Source organism: Homo sapiens, chromosome 10, assembly GCF_000001405.40.
Source record: "Homo sapiens chromosome 10, GRCh38.p14 Primary Assembly".
Classification (NCBI taxonomy): domain Eukaryota; kingdom Metazoa; phylum Chordata; class Mammalia; order Primates; family Hominidae; genus Homo; species Homo sapiens.
In genome coordinates, this window is record NC_000010.11 from 57781814 (window position 1) to 57805729 (window position 23916).

A 23916-nucleotide genomic window follows, 5' to 3' on the forward strand; every position below is an offset into this window, starting at 1 on the left:
GGACACATTTAAAGCAGTGTGTAGAGGGAAATTTATTGCACTAAATGCCCACAAGAGAAAGGAGGAAAGATCTAAAATTGACACCCTAACATCACAATTAAAAGAACTAGAGAAGCAAGAGCAAACAAATTCAAAAGCTAGCAGAAGGCAAGAAATAACTAAGATCAGAGCAGAACTGAAGGAGATAGAGACACAAAAAAACCCTTCAAAAAATGAATGAATCCAGGAGCTGGTTTTATGAAAACATCAAAAAAATTGATAGACCACTAGCAAGACTAATAAAGAAGAAAAGAGAGAAAAATCAAATAGATGCAATAAAAAATGATAAAAGGGATATCACCACCAATCCCACAGAAATACAAACTACCATCAGAGAATACTATAAACATCTCTACGCAAATAAACTAGAAAATCTAGAAGAAATGGATAAATTCCTGGACACGTACACCCACCCAAGACTAAACCAGGAAGAAGCTGAATCTATGAATAGACCAAAACAGGTTCTGAAATTGAGGCAATAATTAATAGCCTACCAACAAAAAAAAGCCCAGAACCAGTAGATTCACAGCTAAATTCTACCAGAGGTACAAAGAAGGGCTGGTACCATTCCTTCTGAAACTATTCCAATCAATAGAAAAAAAAAAAGAATCCTCTCTAACTCATTTTATGGGACTAGCATCATCCTGATACCAACACCTGGAAGAGACACAACAAAAAAATAAAATTTCAGGCCAATATCATTGATGAACATCAATGTGAAAATCCGCAATAAAATACTGCCAAACCAAATCCAACAGCATATCAAAAAGCTTATCCACCACAATCAAGTTGGCTTCATCCCTGGGAAGCAAGGCTGGTTCAACATACACAAATCAATAAATGTGATCCATCACATAAACAGAACCAATGACAAAAACTACATGATTATCTCAATAGATACAGAAAAGGCCTTTGATAAAATTCAGCAATGCTTCATGCTAGAAACTCTCAATAAACTAGGTATTCATGGAACATATCTCAAAATAATAAGAGCTATTTATGACAAACCCATGCCAATATCATACTGAATGGGCAAAAACTGGAAGCATTCCCTTTGAAAACTGGCACAAGACAAAGATGCCCTCTCTCACCACTCCTATTCAACATAGTATTGGAAGTTCTGGCTATGGCAATCAGGCAAGAGAAAGAAAGAAAGAGTATTCAACTGGGAAAAAGAGGAAGTCAAGTTGTCTCTGTTTGCAGATGACATGATTGTATATTTAGAAAACCCCATCGTCTCAGCCCCAAATCTCCTTAAGCTGATAAGCAACTTCAGCAAAGTCTCAGGATACAAAATCGATGTGCAAATATCACAAGCATTCCTATACACCAATAATAGACAGAGAGCCAAATCATGAGTGAACTCTCATTCACAATTACTACAAAGAGAATAAAATACCTAGGAATCCAACTTACAAGGGATGTGAAGGACCTCTTCAAAAAGAACTACAAACCACTGCTCAATGAAATAAAAGAGTACACATACAAATGGAAGAACATTCCATGCTCATGGGTAGGAAGAATCAATATTGTGAAAATGGCCATACTGCCCAAGGTAATTTATAGATTCAATGCTCTGCCCATCAAGCTACCAATGACTTTCTTCACAGAATTGGAAAAAATTACTTTAAAGTTCATATGGAACCAAAAAGGAGCCCGCATTGCCAAGACAATCCTAAGCAAAAGGAACAAAGCTGGAGGCATCATGCTACCTGACTTCAAACTATGCTATAAGGCTACAGTAACCAAAACAGCATGGTACTGGTACCAAAACAGATATATAGAATAATGGAACAGAACAGAGGCCTCAGAAATAACACCACACATCTACAAACATCTGATCTTTGACAAACCTGATGAAAACAAGCAATGGGGAAAGGATTCCCTATTTAATAAATGGTGCTGGGAAAACTGGCTAGCCACATGCAGAAAGCTGAAACTGGATCCCTTCCTTACGCTGTATACAAAAATTAACTCAAGATGAATTAAAGACAAATGTAACACCTAACACCATAAAAACCCTAGAAGAAAACCTAGGCAATACCATTCAGGACATAAGCATGGGCAAAGATTTCATGACTAAAACAACAAAAGGAATGGCAACAAAAGCCAAAATTGACAAATGGATCTAATTCAACTAAAGTGCTTCTGCACTTTTTTCACTTCATCAGAGTGAATAGGCAACCTACAGAATGGGAGAAAATTTTTGCAATCTACTCATCTGACAAAGGGCTAATATCAAGAATCTACAAAGAACTTAAACAAATTTACAAGAAAAAAAAAACCATCAAAAAGTGGGTGAAGGATATAAACAGACACTTCTCAAAAGAAGACATTTATGCAGCCAACAAACAGATGAAAAAAAGCTCATCATCACTGGCCATCAGAGAAATGCAAATCAAAACCACAATGAGATACCATCTCAAGCCAGTTAGACTGGCAATCATTAAAAAGTCAGGAAACAACAGATGCTGGAGAGGATGCGGAGAAATAAAAACGCTTTTACACTGTTGGTGGGAGTGTAAATTAGTTCAACCATTGTGGAAGACAGTGTGGCAATTCATCAGAGATCTAGAACTAGAAATACCATTTGACCCAGCAACACCATTACTGGGTATATACTCAAAGGATTATAAATCATGCTGCTATAAAGACACAGGAACACATATGTTTATTGTGGCACTATTCACAATAGCAAAGACTTGGAACCAACCCAAATGTCCATCAATGATAGACTGGATTAAGAAAATGTGGCACGTATACACCATGGAATTCTATGCAGCCATAAAGAAGGATAAGTTCATGTCCCTTGCAGGGACATGGATGAAGCTGGAAACCATCATTCTAAGCAAACTATCACAAAGACAGAAAATGAAACACCGCGCGTTCTCACTCATAGGTGGGAGTTAAACAATGAGAACACATGGACACAGGGCAAGGAACATCACACACTAGGGCCTGGCCTGTCCCCAGATGGGGGCCTGGGGGAGGGATAGCATTAGGAGAAATACCTAATGTAAATGATGAGTTGATGGGTGCAGCAAACCAACATGGCACATATGTGTCTATGTAACAAACTTGCACGTTGTACACATGTACCCTAGAACTTAAAGTATAATTTTTTAAAATGGTCATAATATATGTATTTGAATCATGAGAGTATAAAGGGTCGTTCATTATCACTTAACCTCAATGTTACTTAATGACATAGATAGCATTTATCTCTCCACCATCTCACTGAATGGAATACCATTCAGAGAGATAAGAGCAAAAGGATATCCTGTCCTCATTGTCTGGAATATTGTATCCAGAACAGTCTGAAATACACTTTTCAAAAATGAGTCATCCTTTAATGAGTAAATTAATTAGAGGAAAAGTCATGGAACAACCAGAATTTTTTTTATTCCAAATACCTTACACAAATGCCTGCAATACAGTCAGTTTTCATTCATTATTTGTAGAAAGGTTGAGTTACAGAGCCAAATAAGCAAGTGCCAAAGAATCTCAAGTGCATGGATGTGGGTCAGTCAAAAGTTTACGTAAGAGCTGTCCATGAAAGTACACTTGTCAAATAAGCAAGAATCAAAGTTAAGAGTCAGGAATACGATCGTAGCAATGTCTTATACTATGCACTACTTTATTTATCCCTGCAATTGCTCCATCAACTCATACTCTCATTCCCATTTCAAAGATGAGAAAACTGAGCCGTTGAAGGGTTATGAATTTGCCCAGCCTCACACAGGTTGTCAGAATTGCAATCCCTATGATAATACTGTGTTGGGGCTCAGAAACCAATACCCCCAAAAAAGGCATTTTTGTTCCTGGAGAGAGCAGATGTCCAGTTCTTGTCTAACTTGTGTCAGATGTTTGAACAAAAGCCACTCTGTCTTGAATAGGGGCTGGGTAATATGGGGCTAGGACCTGCTGGGCAACATTCCCAAGAGGTCAGGCATTCTTAGTCACAGGATGAAATAGGAGGTTGCGGGACTGGTATCACAAAATACAGGTCATAAAGACCCTCCTGGTAAAACAGGAAGGGCAAAGAAGCCAGCAAAAACCCACCAAAGCCAACATGGCTACTAAAGTGACCTCTAGTCATGCTCACTGCTCATTATATGTTACTTATAATGCATCAGCATGCTAAAGACACTCCCATCAGCCCATGACAGTTTACAAATGCCACAGCAATGTTGGGAAGTTACCCTATATAGTCTAAAAGTGGGAGGAAACCTCAGTTCCAGGAATTGCCCACCCCTTTCCTGGAAAACTCATAAATAATCCCCCCCTTGTTTACCATATGATCAATAAATAACCATAAAAATAGCCAACCAGCAGCCCGGAGGGTTTAGGGAGTAGCCATTCTTTTGTTCCTTTGCTTCTCTAATAAATTTGCTTTTACTTCATTCTATTGACTTGCCCCAAATTCATTCTCGTGCAAGATCCAATATCCCTCTCTTGGGGTCTGGATTGGGGCCCCTTTCTGGTAACACTTGAAAGAAAAAAATTCAACTAAGACACAGGACAAAGATAGCAGATAATTTTATTGAATAGAAATATCATTTAAAGAGCTTCTTGTAGAAAAAAAGAGATGTGCCCCAAGGCAGGAGCAGAATGATCCTGTAGGAAAACAGCACCAAGTGACCTGTGCAGGGAGTTTAATCACGTCAAACTTTCTTCAAATTCCTTCTTCTGTCTCAAGTCTCCACCCTTTCCTTTGTCTAATTTTTCCTGCTTCAGCCTTAAATCCCTGCCTTTGCCTCACCTAGGCTTGTGGGACCCTAATTTACTGTTGGTTAATGTGCATGTGCAGGGCTGGTGATCAACAGAATTCCTGCCTGATGGTGGCCCTGCTCATTATCCCCACCCCATGAAAGTTATGTAGCAATCAAATCTATACCTAGCGTGCTTGGGTATCTCTTTGAAATTGTCTTATCTGTTCTAATCTATATTTATGGTGTCAGGGTTTTCTTAGGAATGTCCCTTTCGCCCTTTTTATAAGCATGTAGCTAGAGATATTCTGACATTTTAACAGTAGAATGAACGATTACTGGGGCATCTTACGAGGGGTTCTGGGGGATTTCTTTCTTCCTATGTACCTCCTTTCCTTCTTACCCACATTTGACTAAGTGCTCACTCACTCCAGCAAACCTTTCATAAGCAAATTTTGGGTGGTCCCTCGGGAATGAGCCTTCCCAGACTTTTCCTTTCTCAGGGGCTCCCCTTGCCTACTCGTGTCTTGCTATTTTAGCAATTTCTTCACTTTGATTGAAAGAGAAATGAAATACCTACCTTCTCCAGGTCTCTCTGACCTCCTCCCACCCCCATGGTCTCTCCAATATTGTTGAAGTTCATTTACCTGCCCAATATCCAAACCGACCAAGGAGAACAATTGTTTATTCTTTCCCTCCTTATCTCATTATCAATTGCAGAAAAGACCAAGACTACAGCCACAGCTGCACAGGCTCTTTTACAAGTATAATGACTATCTCAAGAATCATTTACATTCCAAAGAGAACTATTTGCAAGTTAATCTCTGATTCTGGATTCATTCATTCTCCCTAGTAATCCCCTCAACACTCCTATTTTACCCATAACCTATTTTACCAGGATTCAAGCCCTGTTGTTTCTATAACTTCAAGATGGTATATAAGCTTATCTACCTCGTTAGGAAGTTAAGCCTTCATTGTGAAGTCTTCCACATATATATGTTAAATAAATTTTTATGCCTTTTATCCTACTATCTACTTCATGTCAGTGATTTTTCAGTGAGCCTTTGGACAGCCAAGAGACTGAATCATAATAACAACAAAAGCAAGAGCAAGTAACAAGGTAGACACAGATTTGCAAAGATCAAGTCAATTCTTTAGTGATTTTTGACATAACTAATAAAAATGCCAAAGACCCATTGTTTAAATTCTGAATAATTTGTCACTGCACTTCCAGACTAGACTATGCTCTTCCAGACTGAACTAACAATAGATTTGAAAAACTTATAACTAAGCATATTATTTTAGCAATGTTTTCAGTCTGGTTGAAATAGAAATGAATTACCTTCTAAGCAATGTTCAAAATATTCAAATTAGTTTAATGAGTTGCAATGAAATCCCTTTAAAATATATTAAAGCACAATTCAGACAAGCTTATTACTTGCTTAGCAATGTAACAATTGTTGGCTGATTTAATAAGTACTGTACTGTATTTCCCTTGTATTTATTTACTGATATAGGACTTAAGAAGGAATTACTTGGGCAGATACCAAGGGTATGGGAGTCCTCATTAAGGCTTTTACTTTTAACAAACAGCAGCCCCAAATCATTTTCTAGCAAACAGTATTTTCTAGCAAACTGGGAGCTTGCACAGGTGAATGCCAGCAGGAACTAAGGACTAGACATTTTCAAAATGGCGGCTCTATCTTCCCTTCTCTGCCAGCCATGTGTATTATAAGAAACAGACAAGATGGTGGTGCTGATCAACTAGAAAGCCCCATTTGCATAAGAGGATTAGGGTGAGGCAATCAGCCTTCCCTGAGTGCTATGTGAACGTCATACCTGATCAACCCAATCTGCGAGTCTTACATAAATCAGACACTGCCTCCTCAAATGGACTATAAAACTCAGTGCATTCATTGCCAGCTGGTCCTCTCTCTGCTCAGAGATCCCTTCCTCTATAGAAGAAGCTGTTTCTCTTTCTCTTTTCTTCTACCTATTCGACCTCTGCTCCTAAACTCCTCATGTGTGTCTGTGTCCTAAATTTTCCCAGAGCATGACAATGAACCCAGTTTTATACTCCAAACAGCATAGCCACTTCATAATGGGGGTTTGTCCGGGATACTAAGGTACAACATTCATTGAAATGGTGAGTAGAGGAGCGGACTCCAACTCTGTCCTTTCATTCAGAGGCTCTCGGCCTCCATTTTAGACCTTTCACTGAGGACTTAGCTGTTGCATGCGACTGGAAGAAGTCCTGGGGCAACTCAGGATTTCTGGCCAGGGCCACCCCCAGGTGTGTTATCCAAAGGCTTCTGAACTGACTCCAGCCTCCAACCACCCCAACGGAGTGTTGGCAACAGGATCTCCAACTTTCCTATCATAATTTCCTCCTTTCCAGTCCATGACCTTTATATCTCATATCCTCTCTGTGTGGATAAGATGTGTGGGAAATTTTACAGTTCAGGAAAGTAATCTTGTTTAGCAACATCAGGGAATGTCATAGTAACTGGGAATATAACTCAAGGGAAGTTGTGTTTGTGATTTCCTAGGAACAGAGGGTTCTCCCCACGCCCACAAGTGAGCATCTCTGTCTCTCTCAGCCCTTGGTCTGGAGAGCATATGGCATTGCCAGATCTCTCTCTGCCCTTGGTGTGGAAAGCGCATGGCATTTCCAGGCCTCTCTCTGCCCTTGGTATGGAAAGCACATGGCATTTCCAGGTCTCTCTCTGCCCTTGGTCTGGAGAGCTCATGGTGTCTCAAGGCCAACAACTCCACTTAGTGGAATAGGGATCCTCTCCAAGAGGCACGTTTTTGGTCCTTTACCAAAACAACCTAGCTTTCCAATTCCCTTCTCTTTCTGGTCCTCTCTACTAGAAACCAGGCTTTATGCTGCCTCTGTAAATGGGAAAATTCTACCTTCAACAACTAGGAGTAAAATATCCTCCGAAGCCAAATCTTAGTCTTGATACTGTCCCATCAGCAGGAAAATAGTCATTCAGTCCCTATGTTCTTTTAAGGCACCTATTCTGCCCCCAATTAGAGTGGTACTTAATTACTAAGGTGATTTTAGTTCTGAAGTTAATAGGAACCATTCTGTAAGGGTAAATACTTTAGCTCAAGCCATAATAGCAGGATATAGAGTTCAATCTAGCACTCCTCCTTCATTACAGAGGCCTTGCCCAACTATTATATAGTTTTTCTTGAGATCTAGTTTTTGGGGAGCCAGGCAGGTCACACAAGTCTAGGAAGTCAAAGGAGAATCACAGGCAGAGAACTAGAGCCACTTGCATGAGCATGATTAACGCCAATCACTTACTTCCTCTGGTTCCATGGCTGGGGGTTATCCCTGAAACCATGGGTGGTATGTTCAACAAGGTGCCAGGACCCAGGAAACACAGAGGCAAAATAGCAAGAGGGATACCCCCACTGTTTTCCTCTTTACCCTGGGCCACACCAAAAGGAAGGAGACTAAAGGGACTCATTTTTCTTGCTTTTCTTTCTAGATAGGTACCATCTTCAGCCTGTACTCCCCTGGAGTGCATTATGAAGCACAAGGACTCCTTTGACCCTGAGATTTTAAAGACAAAAGTGGCTCATTTTCTTTTGCACGAGGGCATAGCCTTTTTACCAGATCTTTGCAAGCATTACAAAATCAACTCAGGCCTTTTAGCAATCAGATCAGGCAGGCCCAAAGAGAACAATTCCCCAAAAATTAGAAAAGCAACTTCCAAGGCAACCATCTGAGACAGCTATTGGGTGTCCCAGCCCTTCAAGCCCCTCTTATCTGGAGTCACCTCAAACCACACCACCAGCTTTTCCACCTCCACCATATCCAAAATTTCCCACTCCCCTACCTTTGCTCTTACCCCTATAGGAAATTCCCAATGGAGGTGATGCCACTAGGGTTCAAGTTCCCTTCTCATTGCAGGTCCTTAGGCAAATAAAAGGAGGCTTAGTCTGATTTTCTGAAGATCCTGATAGGTATATAGAAGCTTTCCAAAATTTAACTCAGGTGTTTGACCTCTCGTGAAGGGTGAGCAATATGTCTCCTATAATAGGCCTGAAAGGAAAAAGAAAATGAGGAAGGGAAACAAATAAGAAAAACACCATTCCCAATAGGAAGAGAGGCAGTACCTCTTGATGACCCTAATTGGTGCCCCCAGACTTTTCTATGGTGTTTTTCCTTCTTTCAAGGTTTACAATGGCTCCTATCTCTTCTTTTATAATGTTCCTCCAAACTAGGAGAAGTGAATTTCCCCAAACCTTAAAATGCTTGGCTTAGAGTTGAGCTGGGGGAAGGGAACCCAGAGGCCTGACATGCTGGCAAAAAGGTAAAAGGTTATGTTTGTTTGTTTTTTTAACTAGCCAAGTTTTGGCTTCTCTCTACCCACGCAAACTGGAAAAAGGGATAATAAGGATCATTGTTTATATTCTCTGTAAAATTGTAATAAAAAAAGATTTGTGAGGTTGGTCTTAAGCTGTAGCCAGTCTGTTGTGCTTCATGTGTCTTTCTGTATGGTTCTGTCAAAAGAAGGAGTACCTTACGTTAGGATGCAGGCCCAGGACCCCATAAGCCTGCTGATCAAGCCAACCCAACAAAACGGCCAGTAACAAACATGGCTATAGGCCTCCATCTTGTTTCATGTGCTTGGCAACATGACCTGTAACCACATGGCAATACTTTGTTTTAGTCTGTACCATTTTACAATGGTTGCCATCTCCTTATGCTAAGTCAGTTCCTGAATAGGGGCCACAAAATCAGATAAGCTAGTTTGTTGATCTGGATGGTGTCAGCTGTTCCATCAAGGGCAAGGTTTACAAAATATCTTAAGCACTGATCTTGAGAGCAGTTTAAGGAGCGTCAAAATTTTTAGCATCCAGCTGCATGACTCCTAAGCCATGGTGTCCAATCTTGTGGCTAGTTACTTGGTCTGGTCCCCAGGCAAGAGGGAAATATATCTTAAGAAGGGGCTGTTATCGTCTTTGTTTTGGACTATAAACTGTAAACCAGGGTCCTCCCAAAGTTGGTTTGGCCTACAACCAGGGATAAGCAAGGACAGCTTGGGGGTTGGAAACAAAATGGAGTTGGTTGGGTTGGATCTCTTTCACTATATCTCAGTCATAATTTTGCAATAATGGTTTCAAAAGCTGCCTTTCATCTCTTTGAAAATACCTTGTACACTCATTGTTAAGTCATAACCTAATTAAGGCTTGTTGGTTTCACCTGTGAGGTCACTTTTTGTAACGTTCAAAAGCTGAAAATCTTAACAGCTTGGTGTGGCTAAAGTTGAGTAACAAGGGATTTAAAAGGATTTTCTTAAAGAGTGCTCAGCTTAATTAAAAGTGGACATTCAAGTTATAGGTATATTTTTCTTAGTCAAATGAATTTTTTTTTCTGTTTTTTTCTTGCCACTCTTAATGCATGTGTGAGAGGGCCTAAGATAACTTCTGGTAGCATGGGACTCCTTGGGAAAAACAAAGGAGTCGCCATAGACCCCATTCTGGGGGGAAAAAAAAAAAAACACCTCTGTTTTCCTCATGAGACCCCAGGAATTAAAAGTGGATAGTTCCCTCTCAAAACCAAAGGTTCTTTTCTGTTTTGCATTGTGTTATCTAACAGTTTTGAGTTTTGGAGATAACAAGTTACCTCACATTAAGAGGGAGCTTTGGTGTATAAAAACTAGGTAGGAAATACATTTTAAGGGATGGCTAATAGTAGTTATAAATCAGAGAAGCATGCTCTTGGCCACCTGAAAGATATGGAAACATCCCCACCTCCAACTGAGGGATAAGCCAACTGGCTTTAGGTTGCCTTGCAATGAAATACATGGTAGAAGCACTGACCGTCTTCTTCCATAGTATCTCCTTCCCTTTGGGGATCCAAAATCCTGTATAAAAAGGCACCCTTAATTTTGGGGAATCTGTCTTTGTCTTCAGCTGTGCCTACTTATTACGCCCTAGAAATGCATTCCTTCCTGGCCCTGTTCCTCCAAGGGCTCCACCCTGCAGCCAATAATCCAATTAAGAAACTGGCAAATGAAAAATCTTACAAATGCTGAATCTTCTGTCTGTTTGTGTCACTATATGTGTGTTGTGTGTAATGTCTATAAAAAGAGCTCTAATTGGCTTAAAGAAAAACAAGCACTTAAATCAAATATGTTTTCATTTAAGTGACTTTAATCTTTAAGAAATAAAAATAGTCTTAAGGATTATTGGTAAAATGCAAGTGCCATCAAAATGCAAATAGGTGGTCTAAATCATACAATTAGATACTAGCTTTGCTAAATGTGTTAAGGTTGTATACGGCCTGCTTTACAGATAGGTAAGGCCTGGGACACATGGAGTTAGATGCTGGAAGGAGTCAGGCCTTATTGGTACTTCTGTCTGGGTCCTAGGCTCCATAGCTGGTACATAATTAAAATCACTTACTAACCAGGTTTTTCACCAAACATACAAGTTGCTATGAGTTAACAGTGCAACATGTATTTGAGATCACTAAATAGTATTACATGCAAGGAGCATAATAACAGTAAGCTATGTCTTTTTAGTAAAAGAATATAAGAAAGCATGGGAATGTAAATTTTGCCCAGGGAACGAGGGATTATGTTAAATTTGATAAGATAAAGCTAGAGGTTTAAGCAAGTTACAGAAAGATTGTAAAAATTAATCTTGCAAAAATGTGTAAGCATTAACTAAATTCAAAAGGATGTTATATGGTCTTTTCCATAAATTGAGCATTGAAATAAAAGCACAGCAAGGTCGTCCAAAAATGCTAATCTGCCCTTTATCAAAAAGGGTTATAAAGGTTTTGTAAAGATTTCACCTCGTGGTCAAATTGGTAAGATTAGGTGGAATCATCTGTAGGGTTTCATTTAAACAAATTGGGATTAACATTCATAAACTAATGCAAGGGTAAAATTTGGCTTTGAACAGGATTTTCATGTCATAATGAAGGCTAATAAAAGGTATTTATCTTTTGAGTCGTGATTTTGGCCAAATAAATAATTTATGGCAACATGGAATTCTATTTCATAAAATCAAGCGTTTTAAACCTCTAACATTTAATAAGTGCCCCAGAAGCAAACTTTAAGTTTCAAAATTGTCTTTTCTAATGCCTGGCTTTCTGGATGGTTCAGAGGGCCCCTGAAACATTCAGAAAAGAGGTGACCAGGATTATTTGACACGTTTAGTCACATGAGATTGCCAAAATGATATCCAATCTTCTTTAAGTTATATTTTGGTGAACAATTCTAATATATGTTCCAAAATTATATGGGATTTCTAAAATTCTGATGTCTGAATATATGCTCTCAATCATAATCAAGGGTGAAGTTATTGTAAGCCACAGAGATAACTAAACTTCTTTGTCAGTCATGTTTTCAACTGTAACTATCGTGGAAATTTTGTCATTCACAGACAATCGTTGTCTGCTTTGTTCCTTCTCAAAAGATTGGTTATAATCAAGCTATAAGACTTTAACAGGTCTTAGCAAATGCAGGTTTTTAATAGCTTTGAAGATTGTAACATTGGAATAGAGAAACAACGTATGCAACTCACGAAGAACTGAAATGTTCACAAATGTCAAGCAAAACAAGGTTAACTAAATGGACTGCACTCAGAAATTAAAGCAAACTTTTTGAATATTGCTTGAAATATTGCTGATCCTTGTTTTGTTTTTCAGAGTCAAGGAAACTTATTTTGAATTATTTACAGCCTTTAATAATTGAGTAAGGTATACTCCTGTAAATAAAATTTGGAGCATATTTGTTTCTCTCTGCCTGGTACCTCTGGAATTTGGAAGCTATCTGTGGTACTCTTAACTTATGGCAATATAGTTGTTTGCATCAGTCCAATAAGAGTCCATTTTTGTTTTTCAACAGGACACAACTGGAAAAACTGATTATTTTACAAAGGCTTTGACTGGAAGGATGCATTTCCCTTTAAGGAATCAAGCTGGATGTGCAGAGCAGATAAAAGCTCCATGGGGATAACTGGCCTCATACCTTGCCTACACAGTCTCTGCACAGGGTTTCTAACCTGTGGTCAGCAAAGAATTTCACTTCCTAACAGGTCCAGGAGCTCCAAGTTTATCTTGGAACACTAAGAGAAAAGGGTCACCCAACTCACAGGTATTTGAGGATAAAAACCCACGGCTGGGCTCGGCTTTAAAAGGTCTTATCTGAGATTCCTTGTGGAACAGAGTTCCATCAAGGCCAATCCAAAAGACCTACGTATAAATAACCATTCTCACTACACTTTATGCAAATAATCAGACCAAGTATAAGACTCAAGTTTATTCTATGAACAACACAGTCCTATCATAATTTGTTTTTTTTACCAAAAATGAGGACTAGAGAAAGTATTCTCCAAAGCTTATTACACATTTGTCATTAAATCCTAGTCTCATTAGTTGTTTTTAAGCTTTTTGCCTACATTTTAGACTAACCCTGCTTATTCCTTTGAATCAAGTGGTGATCTGCTGCAGCTTAGAAGAAACAAAAAGGGGTGGATAATGTAAAAATATGGATCAATATGCTAGTTCTAGGCAGTTATCCTGCAAATTCTGCCAGATAATAAAAAGAAGGGCGCCCATAACCCAGAGGTTTCTTTGGGAAAATAAAACCAAGAAACTTCATAGAGCCCCAAAGGAAATTCTATATCTTGGCAAGTAAAATTTTGATGGAAAAATCTACTACGTCACCCTTGCAAGACAGAGCATCCCTATTGCTATGGTATTTTGCTTAATTAGTATCCTTATAGCAGGGATAATAGCTACCAACAACAAGGAAGCATGAAAGTTTTAGTATCTCTGAGTTTGCTAGAAATTCTTACTGGGTTTGGTAATATCTCACACCCTAGCTATGCAAAGAAGATTATAAAAGAAAGAGATTTTCTGTGAAAGTCATGACGGGATTGATAATGACAGGAAACATCTAGCCAAGGTTAACACTAAAGTTACTCTAGCCACCCAAATCCAAGAAAGATGTTCTTTTTTCTCTTTTCTTCTACCTATTCAACCTCTGCTCCTAAACTCCTTGTGTGTGTCTGTGTCCTAAATTTTCCTGGGGCATGATGGGCAAACCCCAGACAAATGTAGCTGCTTCATTACCATGTTTGGAAGTGCCTCATTTGTAGTATACTCACAGAGTCAACATACCCTAGTGGTTAAGATTACAATCAGATTATCTGGGTTTTAATCTGGGCTTCACTGTTATAGCAGGTATTAATAGTCAGACTTGAGCAGGGCCGGCGAACCCTCCACCCTCAACACCAGGAATGTCAAACAACTATCAGGTGATGATCAGGCAGTTGCTAAACTGTCTCAAATAATAACTGGTCACAGCCAGAGCCAGAGAAAGGCATTCTCCCAACAGACAGAAAACACTTGAATCTGGTGATAAGCAGCTTCCCAATAAGATCAGTAGTAGGGCGAGTGAGCTAAAACATGTGCACTAAGAGGCAAAATGGCAGAGTTGAACTGATATACAACCTTCCTCTAGGAAGCACTCAACTGGTAAGGGAAAAACACCTCAATTGAGCATGTATACAACTTCAGTAAATGCTGCATGTGCAGCCCCTCCCAAGGGCTGGCAGGCCACTGTGCATCAGGACAGCCCACCCCAAGGGAAGAATTAGGGGAGATGGGACAAAACCCCCTGGAAGTGTGCCAACATATGAAACCCTAAGTCAAAGGTCAAACCATGCATTTGAATCTCTCAAGTCACCCACTTGGCCCTCTTCTAAGTGTACTTTACTTCCTTTCATTCCTGCTCTGAAACTTCATAATAAACTTTCCCTCCTCCTCTAAAACTTGCCTTGGTCTTTTCCTCTACCTTATGCCCCTCAGTCAAATTCTTTCTTCTGAGGAGGCAAGAATTGAGGTTGCTGCAGACCCATACAGATTTGCCACTGCTAACATCACTACTTGCCAGCTATGTGAACATAGCAAAATCTCTCAAATTTTCTGAACCTCAGTTTCTAATTTGTAAAGAAAATAATAGCAATTATTCCATAGAACCATTGAGAGAATTATGTAAGTTAACATATGTAAGGTGCTTAGAACAGGATGTGGCATATTTTAACCACTCAGTGAATTTTAGCAACTATTATAATTATATATAATTTATATAATATTTATATAAAATATATAAAATATATAAAATATTATATAAAATATAATTTATATAATATTTATATAAAATATATATAATTTAGCAACTATTATAATTATAAATATAGGTAAGCTATATTATAATGGAATTTTATTCTGTTTCCAAAACATAAATGGGCTCACTAGCATTCAATAATACAGCCTATTAAGATGTAGAATAATGGTATATCCACAAAAAAAATACCCATCTTGGAAGTATGGTATATCATTTCTCCATCTTTTTTTTTTATATATTTTTGCTATATAGAAGAAGAAGGAGGGGAGGAAAAGGAGGACAGCTGAGAAATTATCAGTGTTTAGGCAGACATTGTGGCACATGCCTGTAGTCCCAGCCACTCAGGAGGCTGAGGCAGGTGGATGAGTTGAGCCAAGTTTGAGGCTCCAGTGAGCTGTGATGACACCAATGCACTCCAGCCTAGGTGATGCAATGATACATGCTCTGTAAAATTTTTTTTTAAAACAACAAATTTGAAAAAAAAGAAAATTGTCACAGTGAGAACTGTCAAATGCTAAGAGCATTCTATTTATAATGTATTGACCCTTCATCCACTTTTTTTGATAAAATTGAAATTTTGAAGCCCTTTTCAAATTCTCTCAGACTCATTACAGCACATTTTAACCACAAAATTATACTCACTAGTTTATCAAAAACAAAACTTTATAAAACCATGATCATGAGCCAAATGGAAGAATCTTTTTTCACCTCTACTGGTTCATAAGGGTTAGACCAGGAAGTCAATTTCTACAGCAGATATTGAAGGTCTCTATATGTTTTGGGGCCCCTCATTGGCCAACAATTTAAGTACAGATTTAGTTTACAGATTTTCTGTCACTCATGAGAGTACGTTGAAAGTATTTTCACTCAGGATAAACTTCTGTGACACTGGAAGAAAACAGTTGTAAAAGATATATTTGTTACCTAACACAATATAAAGGAAATATCAGGCTTAATTACTTTATTATACTGAAAATCGAAGTTTATTTTATGTCCCAAGATAGATTAATATGCTTGAATAGCTGGAGTGCTGCCACAGTCTGAAATACCCAGATAATTTCTGACTGTCCCCAGCATTCGTGCTTTCTGATTGTAGTCCTACAGGGTATTGGAAACACACGTATAATCATAAGATCATTACAGAAAAGACTGATTCATTTTAGCCCTCACCTCATTGTGGTGATACCAAGAGTATTTATCAGCCTTTCTGAATAATATTTATCCCACCTAAAGTGTATACAACAGATATTTTTCTGGTGAAACTAATGAATAAATACATATTTCATTGACCACCTTTTGCCATGTACTTTCTCACCACTGACTCTAAACCACTACCCATATTTGTTGTTAGCACACAACAAAAGCACCATAGGATAATTACCCTGTCACTTAGGAAGCAACTGTAACTTCCTTGGTAATGGGATGTTGGTCTGTAGGTGCAATGCAGAAAGTTTCAGAAGACAGAATACTTGCTGATTAATATAAAGAAATGATGATGATTTCTTAAGGCAAATATGAATAGTTTCTAAAAATTAAGACCAATCAGAAATTAAGCCCATATGTGGGAAAAGGCAAGCTGCAAAATAAATGAACTGCAGAGAAACACTAATCCCATATTAGTTAGTCTTCTTACCTTCTCCCTATTAAATAATTTTTAAGCTGTCATCAAGAAGTCAACATACTATGTGACATTTACCATATTTAATTAAAATTAAAGGAATAAGGGAGAGAGTACATACATACACACACACACACACTCACAAACTGTAAATCACCAGAGAAACAGCCAAAAGGAAGGTAGCTAAAGGAAAAAGTAGAAGCTCTTGGGAGCCTGGATAATGCTGATCAACTGGGTAGATGACATCAGTAAAGTGTAAATGCCAAAGTTTATCTAAAACCATCAGTAGATGAGGCGAAGTTGATTATATAAAATTGAAAACTATACTAAAGATCATTACTTTAATGACATACAAAACTATAAATTTAAGAGATTCCTGAAGGAAGTGATTGGAATGAAACTGAATGAAAATCCATTCATAGAGATTTTTTTAAACCACGTCGGGTCAAAGAAAAGCAAGTTCATGGTAAGAAATCATCTTACACTGACAAGGGAGGGACGAATTTTCCTTTTAGCTTTTCCTAGATATGTTTATTTCTTGTTGGTCAATTTTCAGTCTATGGAGTGATTTTATAGTGAGAAATTATTCAGCAAGCTATATGCTTGAGATTCTTTAATTCACTTCTCCTTTTACTGAACCAGACTGTATTCATAAATCACTGAACCTTTGCCACCTTAGTTTTACATTTCAGCTCCAGTATAGTCTTGGGCGTTTTTGCTATTGTCCTAGTCAATTTTTAATTCTGTATGAATGCAGAAGGAAAGATATTTATCTCGAGTAAATGTCAAAAATTACATTTTGAATTAGCATGCTTTGAATTCCTGACCTGTTTTGACCTCTGTTTGTTCCATTTGTGATAGTATATTTGTGATTCAGATACAGTATTTGCAGAAAATCAAGTCTCTGAAAAGTTTCTGTTTTTTAAATGCATCTATAATTAGAGAAAGTTTACAAATAGTTATATTTGAATGTCTTTAAAAAGCAAAGGCTTTCTGTAGACTTTTAAAAATATTTATGCTTCTACCCCAGATTTTTTTGAAAAAGCAGCATTATTGAGGTAATTAAGTAATTAACATACAATGAATTATACATATTTAGTGTGCACACCGTGATAAGTTTTGACATAATTCCTCCATTCCACCCTTTTTTGTTCCCACCATGTACAAGCAACTACTGATCTACTATCAGTCACTAAATATTAGTTAGTAAACACTAAAATTGTACAGAAATGTAATCATACACTATGTGCTTTGTGTATGTTTGTGTGTGTATGTGTAGGCTTCTTTCACTCAACATAAGTATTTTGGGATCCTTCCCATTGTAGCATTTATCAAGAGCTCATTCCTTTTTATTGCTGAGCAGTACTTCATTGTATATGGATATATCAGTTTGTTTATCCATTCGCCTATTGATGAACATTTAGGTTGTTTCCAGTTTGGGGCTATTGCGAAAGAAGCAGCTATGAACACTGTGTACATGTCTTTGTGTAGGCTTTTAGGTGTGGAATAGCTACGTCATATAGTAGGTATGCATTTAACTTTTTAAAGAAACTGCCAAGCCATCTCCCCAAGTAGTTACATGTTTTCAGAATCCTGCCCAGAATATAAGAGGGTCCCAGTTGTTTCATATTTTTGACAACTTCTGGTATGGCCAATCTGTTTAATCTTATACTAATAGGTATGTAATAGAATCACATTATGGTTTTCATTGGCATTTCTTAATGTCTAATGATGGGACTTTTATTGGAATTGCTTTGAATCTATAGATCAATTCAGGAGATATAAAATTTTAATAATAATAATGAATCCTCTGAATCAAGAACACAGTATATTTCTCAACTTCTTTCAGAAACATGCCCTCACTTTTGTTATACAAGTCTTTTACTTCTTTGTCAAATTTTTCTCTATTTCATATTTTAATGCTATTGTAAATATTTTTATTTCAATTTCTGATTATTCATTGCTAGTATATAAAAATAAAATAGACTTTTAATAGTGTGTTTTTATCCTGCAAACTTAGTAAGCTTATTAGTTCAAGAAATTTTTTTGCGTATTTCCTCTGGTTTGCTGCATAATCACTTATCTGCGAATAAAGACAATTTTACTTATTTCGTCTCCATTTGGATGTTTTCTTTCTTTTCCTTTATTACTATAGAACCACTATTACAATATTACATAGAAGTGATAAAAGTCTGGTACCCGATCTTGCTTGCAACTAATCTCAGGGGGAAAGCATTTAGTCTTTCACAATTTTGTATCACGTTAACAACAGGTTTTTAGTATGTGCTCTTTATTCATTTTAGTAAGTTACCTTAAACTCCTAGTTTTCTAAGAATTTTTCTCAAGAATAAATAATGAATATTTTTCAATGCTTTTTCCACATCCATTGACATGATTATGTAGTTTTTCTTTTTAGCTTGTTTTAATGCTTACACTGATTTTTCTAATGTTAAAAGAATCTTGCATTCTTTGTATAAATCCTATTTGGTTATAATTCAGTATCTCTTTTAAGTATTGATGCATTCAATTTGCAAAAAGTACTCATTAAAACTTTGCATTCTCATCATGAAAAATATTGATTTGTAGTTTTTCTTTCCTTGTAATGTCTTCGGCTGAGTTTGTGTCAGGATAATACTGGCTTTACAAAATGAGGGGGAAATATTCACTCCTCTATTCGATGTGAGTTTTGTAATGCTGGTATTTTTTTTTTCTTAAATGTTTGGTAGAATTCACCAGTGAAGCTATCTGGACTAGAGGCTCTCCTTGTACCATAGAAGTTTTTAGCTACAGTTTCAATTTCTCTAATAGATATAGGCTATTCAGGTTAGCTATCTCTTCTTGTGTGAGATTTGGTAGTTTGTGTGAATTTGTTCATTTTATGTTAAATATATTGGCATAAAGTTATTCATAGTATTCTCTTAATATTCTTTTCATAAATTTAAGATCTCTACTGATATTACCCCTTCACTTCTAATATGGGTAATTTGTGGTTTCTGTCTTTTGTATATGTATGTGTGAAGAGTCTGACCAGAGATTTATCAATTTATCTTCTTATAGAATCATTTTTTGGTTTTAATTTTTTTCTATTGTGTTTATGTTTTCTGTTGCCTTGATTTGCACTCTTATTATATCCTTTCTTCTATTAATTTTTGGGTTGAATTTGCTCTTTTTTTCTAGTTTCCTAATGTAGAAAATGAGATTACTAACTTGACACTTCTCTTTATAATATAGGTGATCAATGCTGTAAATTTGTCCTAAGTATGATTTTGGCAGCATCTGACAAATGTTGTTATGCTGAGTTTTAACTCTTACGGCTTTTGATCTATTCCTTGTCTCATAGGTTATTTATAAGTATGCAATTTACTTTCAAATATTTATGGTTTCCCCAGATATCTTCCTGCTATTGATTTCTAATTTAATTCCATTAGTGTGAGAGAACATACTTTGTATGCCTTGAATTCTTTTAAATTTATTGAAATGTATTTTTTTTACCCAGAATATGGTCTACTTTGGTAATGGTCCATTTAAATTTCTTTAAATGTGTAATCATCTGTTATTGGATAAATTACTTCCATAAATGTCAATTAGGTCTTTGGGTCGATTGTGTTGTTGCATCTTCAATTTAGTTGATTGTGTTGTTATATTCTTACTGATTTTCTATCTCCTTGGCCTATCAATTATTAAAATAATGGCACTAACATATCCAACTATCACTGTGAATTTGTCTGTTTCTCTTTATAATTTTTTTCTCTTGACTTTGAAAGCTCTATTGTTAGGTAAGTAAAAATTTAAGAATATTACATATTCTTGATTAATTGACCTACTTCTCATTATAAAATGATCTCTTCATCTCTGATAATATTATTTTCTTTGAAATCTACTTTGTCTGATATAAATACAGCCCTAAGACTTTATATTGCTTATGGTATTACATCCTTTTACTTTTAACCTCTTTGTGTTTTTATATTTGATACATGTTTCTTATAAAAAGATTTTTTATTCAATCTATCTTTACCTATTAATTAGTAAACATAGATTATGTGATTTACTCTGATTATTTATATAGTTGTGTGTATATATTTCATCTGTTATTTGTTTTCTAATTCATCTCTTCTAACCTTCGTTCCCATTTTCCTTTTTATCTGCCTTCTCTTGGATTAATTGAAAAATTTTATGATTATATATCTCATTCGTTTTCTTAATTGTTGCTTTACAGTGTATAGTATACATCTTTGGCTTATCATTGTTGACCTTCAAGTGATATTATGAAACTTCATGTTCAGTTAGTATATATACCTTAAAATAATATGCTTTAATTCTAAGTTCGTGATTTTTGTCATACATTTTACTTTTACATATGTTATAAACCCCATATTACAATGCTATAATTTTTGTTTAAGCAATTTTTTACACTCTAAATAAATTCTTAAAAGAATAAAATATCTGATATGATTACACATGCAGTTTCCATCTCTAATGCTCTTTGTTATTTTGTGCACATTCATATTTCTATTTGTTATTTTTCTTCTGTCTGAAAGACTTTCTGTCAGATATCTTGTAGTACAGATGAGCTGGAGGTGAATATTTTTGCTTTCATTTGTCTTTTGAAAAGACTTTATTGCACCTTCATTTTCTGAAAATATTTTTTTACTGGATATAGAATTCTAGCTGGATAGTTTTTTCTTCCTTCAATACTTAACAATTTTGCATCATTCTTTTCTCATTTACATTTTTTGCAACCAGAAGTCTGTTGTCATCTTTATCTTTTTTCCTCTGTATGCACTGCCTTTTGTTCGTATTCATTTGCATATTTATTGGGTAGCTTTCATGTGCCTGACACTATTTTAGGTATTGGGGTTACAAAAATAAGCAGACAAAATTGCTGCCTTCATGGAACTCACATTCTACTGATGGAGACCGACAAAGAAGAGCATATAAAAGATTTTGGTTAGCAATATGAAGTATAGTTGGGTGGCCAGAAAAGACCTCACTGAAAAGGCAAGTTTTAAATAAAGACTTGAAGAAAAAGAGAATCTACAGAATTGGGGTGTGTAGGTAGTTGGGAACATTCCAAGCAGAAAGAAAAGAAAGCAAAAGTTCTGACATAGGACTATTCCTGGCATATTTGAATAGCAAAGGGTCAATGTGGCTAGAGTGGAGAGAACAATACGGAGGATAAAAAGGACATGGGGAATCAGATCTTAGAGTCTGGTAGGTAACAGTAAGAGACTTGGATGTTTCTGTGACTGACATAGAAAGCTGCTCATTAGACATGATCTGGCTTATGTTTTATCAAGATCATCCTGGCTTTAGCGTTGAGGATTGACTAGAGAAGGTCAGGGACAGAGAAGGGAAACCATCTAACAAGCTGTTGCAATCATCTAGGCAAAAGGTGACTGTGACCGGCATTTGGGGGGTTAAATTCTGGCTTTATTCTAAATGGAAAGCCTACAAATCAGATGTAGGGTGGATAAAAAGAGTGGCCTCAAGGATAACACTAAGAATTTTGGCCTGAGACAGTGAAATAATGGAAAGAAACTGGTGTAGGGAGAATATTAGCAAGATTCTATTTGGACAAGTTGAGTTAGAGATATCTTTGGTTATCTAAGTAGAGAAGTCAAATAGGCTGCCAAGTTCAAAAGAGTCTTTATTAGAGACATAAATACGGAGTCATTATCATATAGATAATAATTGAATAAATGTAACTAGAAAGTAAGGAAAAAAATTTTTTCTAACCTTTGAGGTTAATTGGAGGTGATTCAAAATACCTGTTATTATCATCACAGAGTAAAAGGGCAATCTGCAGAATGGGACAAAATACTTGTCTTTTGGAAGAAGGCATTTGTAATGTTTTCTTCATATACTTTTTAAAGGTTTTCTCTGTGAACTGTTTGATTATGATGTGGTATTGTTTCAGAACTTGGTGTCGTTTTGTTCATGTTTCTGTTTACATTTATTTTACTTTGTGATCACTGGGTTTATTAAACATATGAGTTTAAATTTTCTGTCAATTTTGGAAAAATAGTTGCTTATTATTTCTTCAACTTTTCTTATTTTGCACCTCTCTATCTTCTTCTTCAGGTACTCAAACTATAGGTATATTGTGTCACTTGAAGTTGTCCCACAACTCTACTCTCTGTTTTTTTTTAAAAAAAATTCTCTGAATAACATCTTCCAAATATGTTTAGGCTCTAATACTTGAAACCTGTGAATATTGCCTTACATGGCAAAAGAGACTTGGCAAAGTGATTAAGACTCTTAATATGGAAACATTATCCTGAATTATCTGGATAAACCCTAAATACAACACAAGTGTCTTCATAAGAGAGATGCAGAAAGAGACTTCACACATGAGACGAAGGCAACGTGGTCATCGAAGCAAGATGCTATGCTGCAAACATCAACATGACATTTGGAGGGATGAAACACATGAAATATTATGATACATATATATGTGTATATATATATATATATATATGGCACATAAGATATTAAAAGTGTCTAGTTTCTAATAGGAAAAAGTTTCAGCAATCTCAAAGCGATTCTTTATGTATGTGTGTGTATAGATAGATGGACAGACAGACAGACAGACAGATAGAATAGGTAGATAGATGATACACACATACACACATAGAGATATATAGATATATGTATATCTCTTATTGGTTCTGTCCCTCTGGGGAACCCTGACTAATAAGCTTCTCTATATTTTGCAGGATAAAGTAAACATAATGTCTTAGTCTGTTGTGTTGCTATAAAGTAATACCTGAGGCTTGGTAATTCATGAAGAAAAAGGGATTATTTAGCTTACAGTTCTGCAGGCTGTATAAGAAGCTTGGTGCAATCTCCTCAGGGATTGAGTAAACTGTTTCTATTGTACAATATGCCTATTCAATCATTTCTTCTAAAGTCAGCTCCCTTCTCCTTCAATCCTTCTTCATCCTGCTTCACATCCCTCTTAAGCTTGGGATAACATTATGTATCCAATGTTTTCTTAGGAAGGAAGAGAAAATGTTCATGTAACAGAGAGTGATAGAAAAACGCCTGTAATCCCAGCACTATGGGAGGCCAAGGTGGGAGGATTGCTTGAGCTCAGGAGTTCAAGACCAACCTGGGCAAGGTAGTGAGACCCCATCTCTAAAAATAAGTAAGGCAGGGCCTTACTGACAAGGCCGTCTGGTGAGGCCCTCAAGCTGCTTCCACTTATGGCAGAAAGAAAAGAGCAGCCAGCATGTCCAGAGATCACATGGTGAGAGAAAAAGCAAGAGAGAAGAATAGGGCAAATGCTAGGCTTTTTTTGTAGCAACCAGTTCTTGGAGGAACTGTCATGAGAATTAGTAAAGCAAAAACTTGCTTAGTCCTCCCCTCCCAGGGAGAGCATTAA

The 23916-nt window shown here is 36.7% G+C and overlaps 1 long non-coding RNA gene across 1 annotated transcript in view, besides 1 other annotated feature; it reads right to left on the reverse strand.

Moving 5' to 3' along the window:
* Positions 1–23916, reverse strand: part of LOC105378314 (uncharacterized) — a 147384-nt gene that overhangs the window by 81821 nt on the left and 41647 nt on the right. The gene's annotated exons all lie outside the window — the stretch shown is intronic.
* Positions 5222–5801: an enhancer, noted in NCBI's record as "OCT4-NANOG-H3K27ac hESC enhancer chr10:59546795-59547374 (GRCh37/hg19 assembly coordinates)". NCBI's record gives its function as "activates a minimal SCP1, AML or CMV promoter by ChIP-STARR-seq in naive H9 embryonic stem cells {active_cell/tissue: H9 hESC(naive)}" and the evidence as "EXISTENCE:reporter gene assay evidence [ECO:0000049][PMID:30033119]".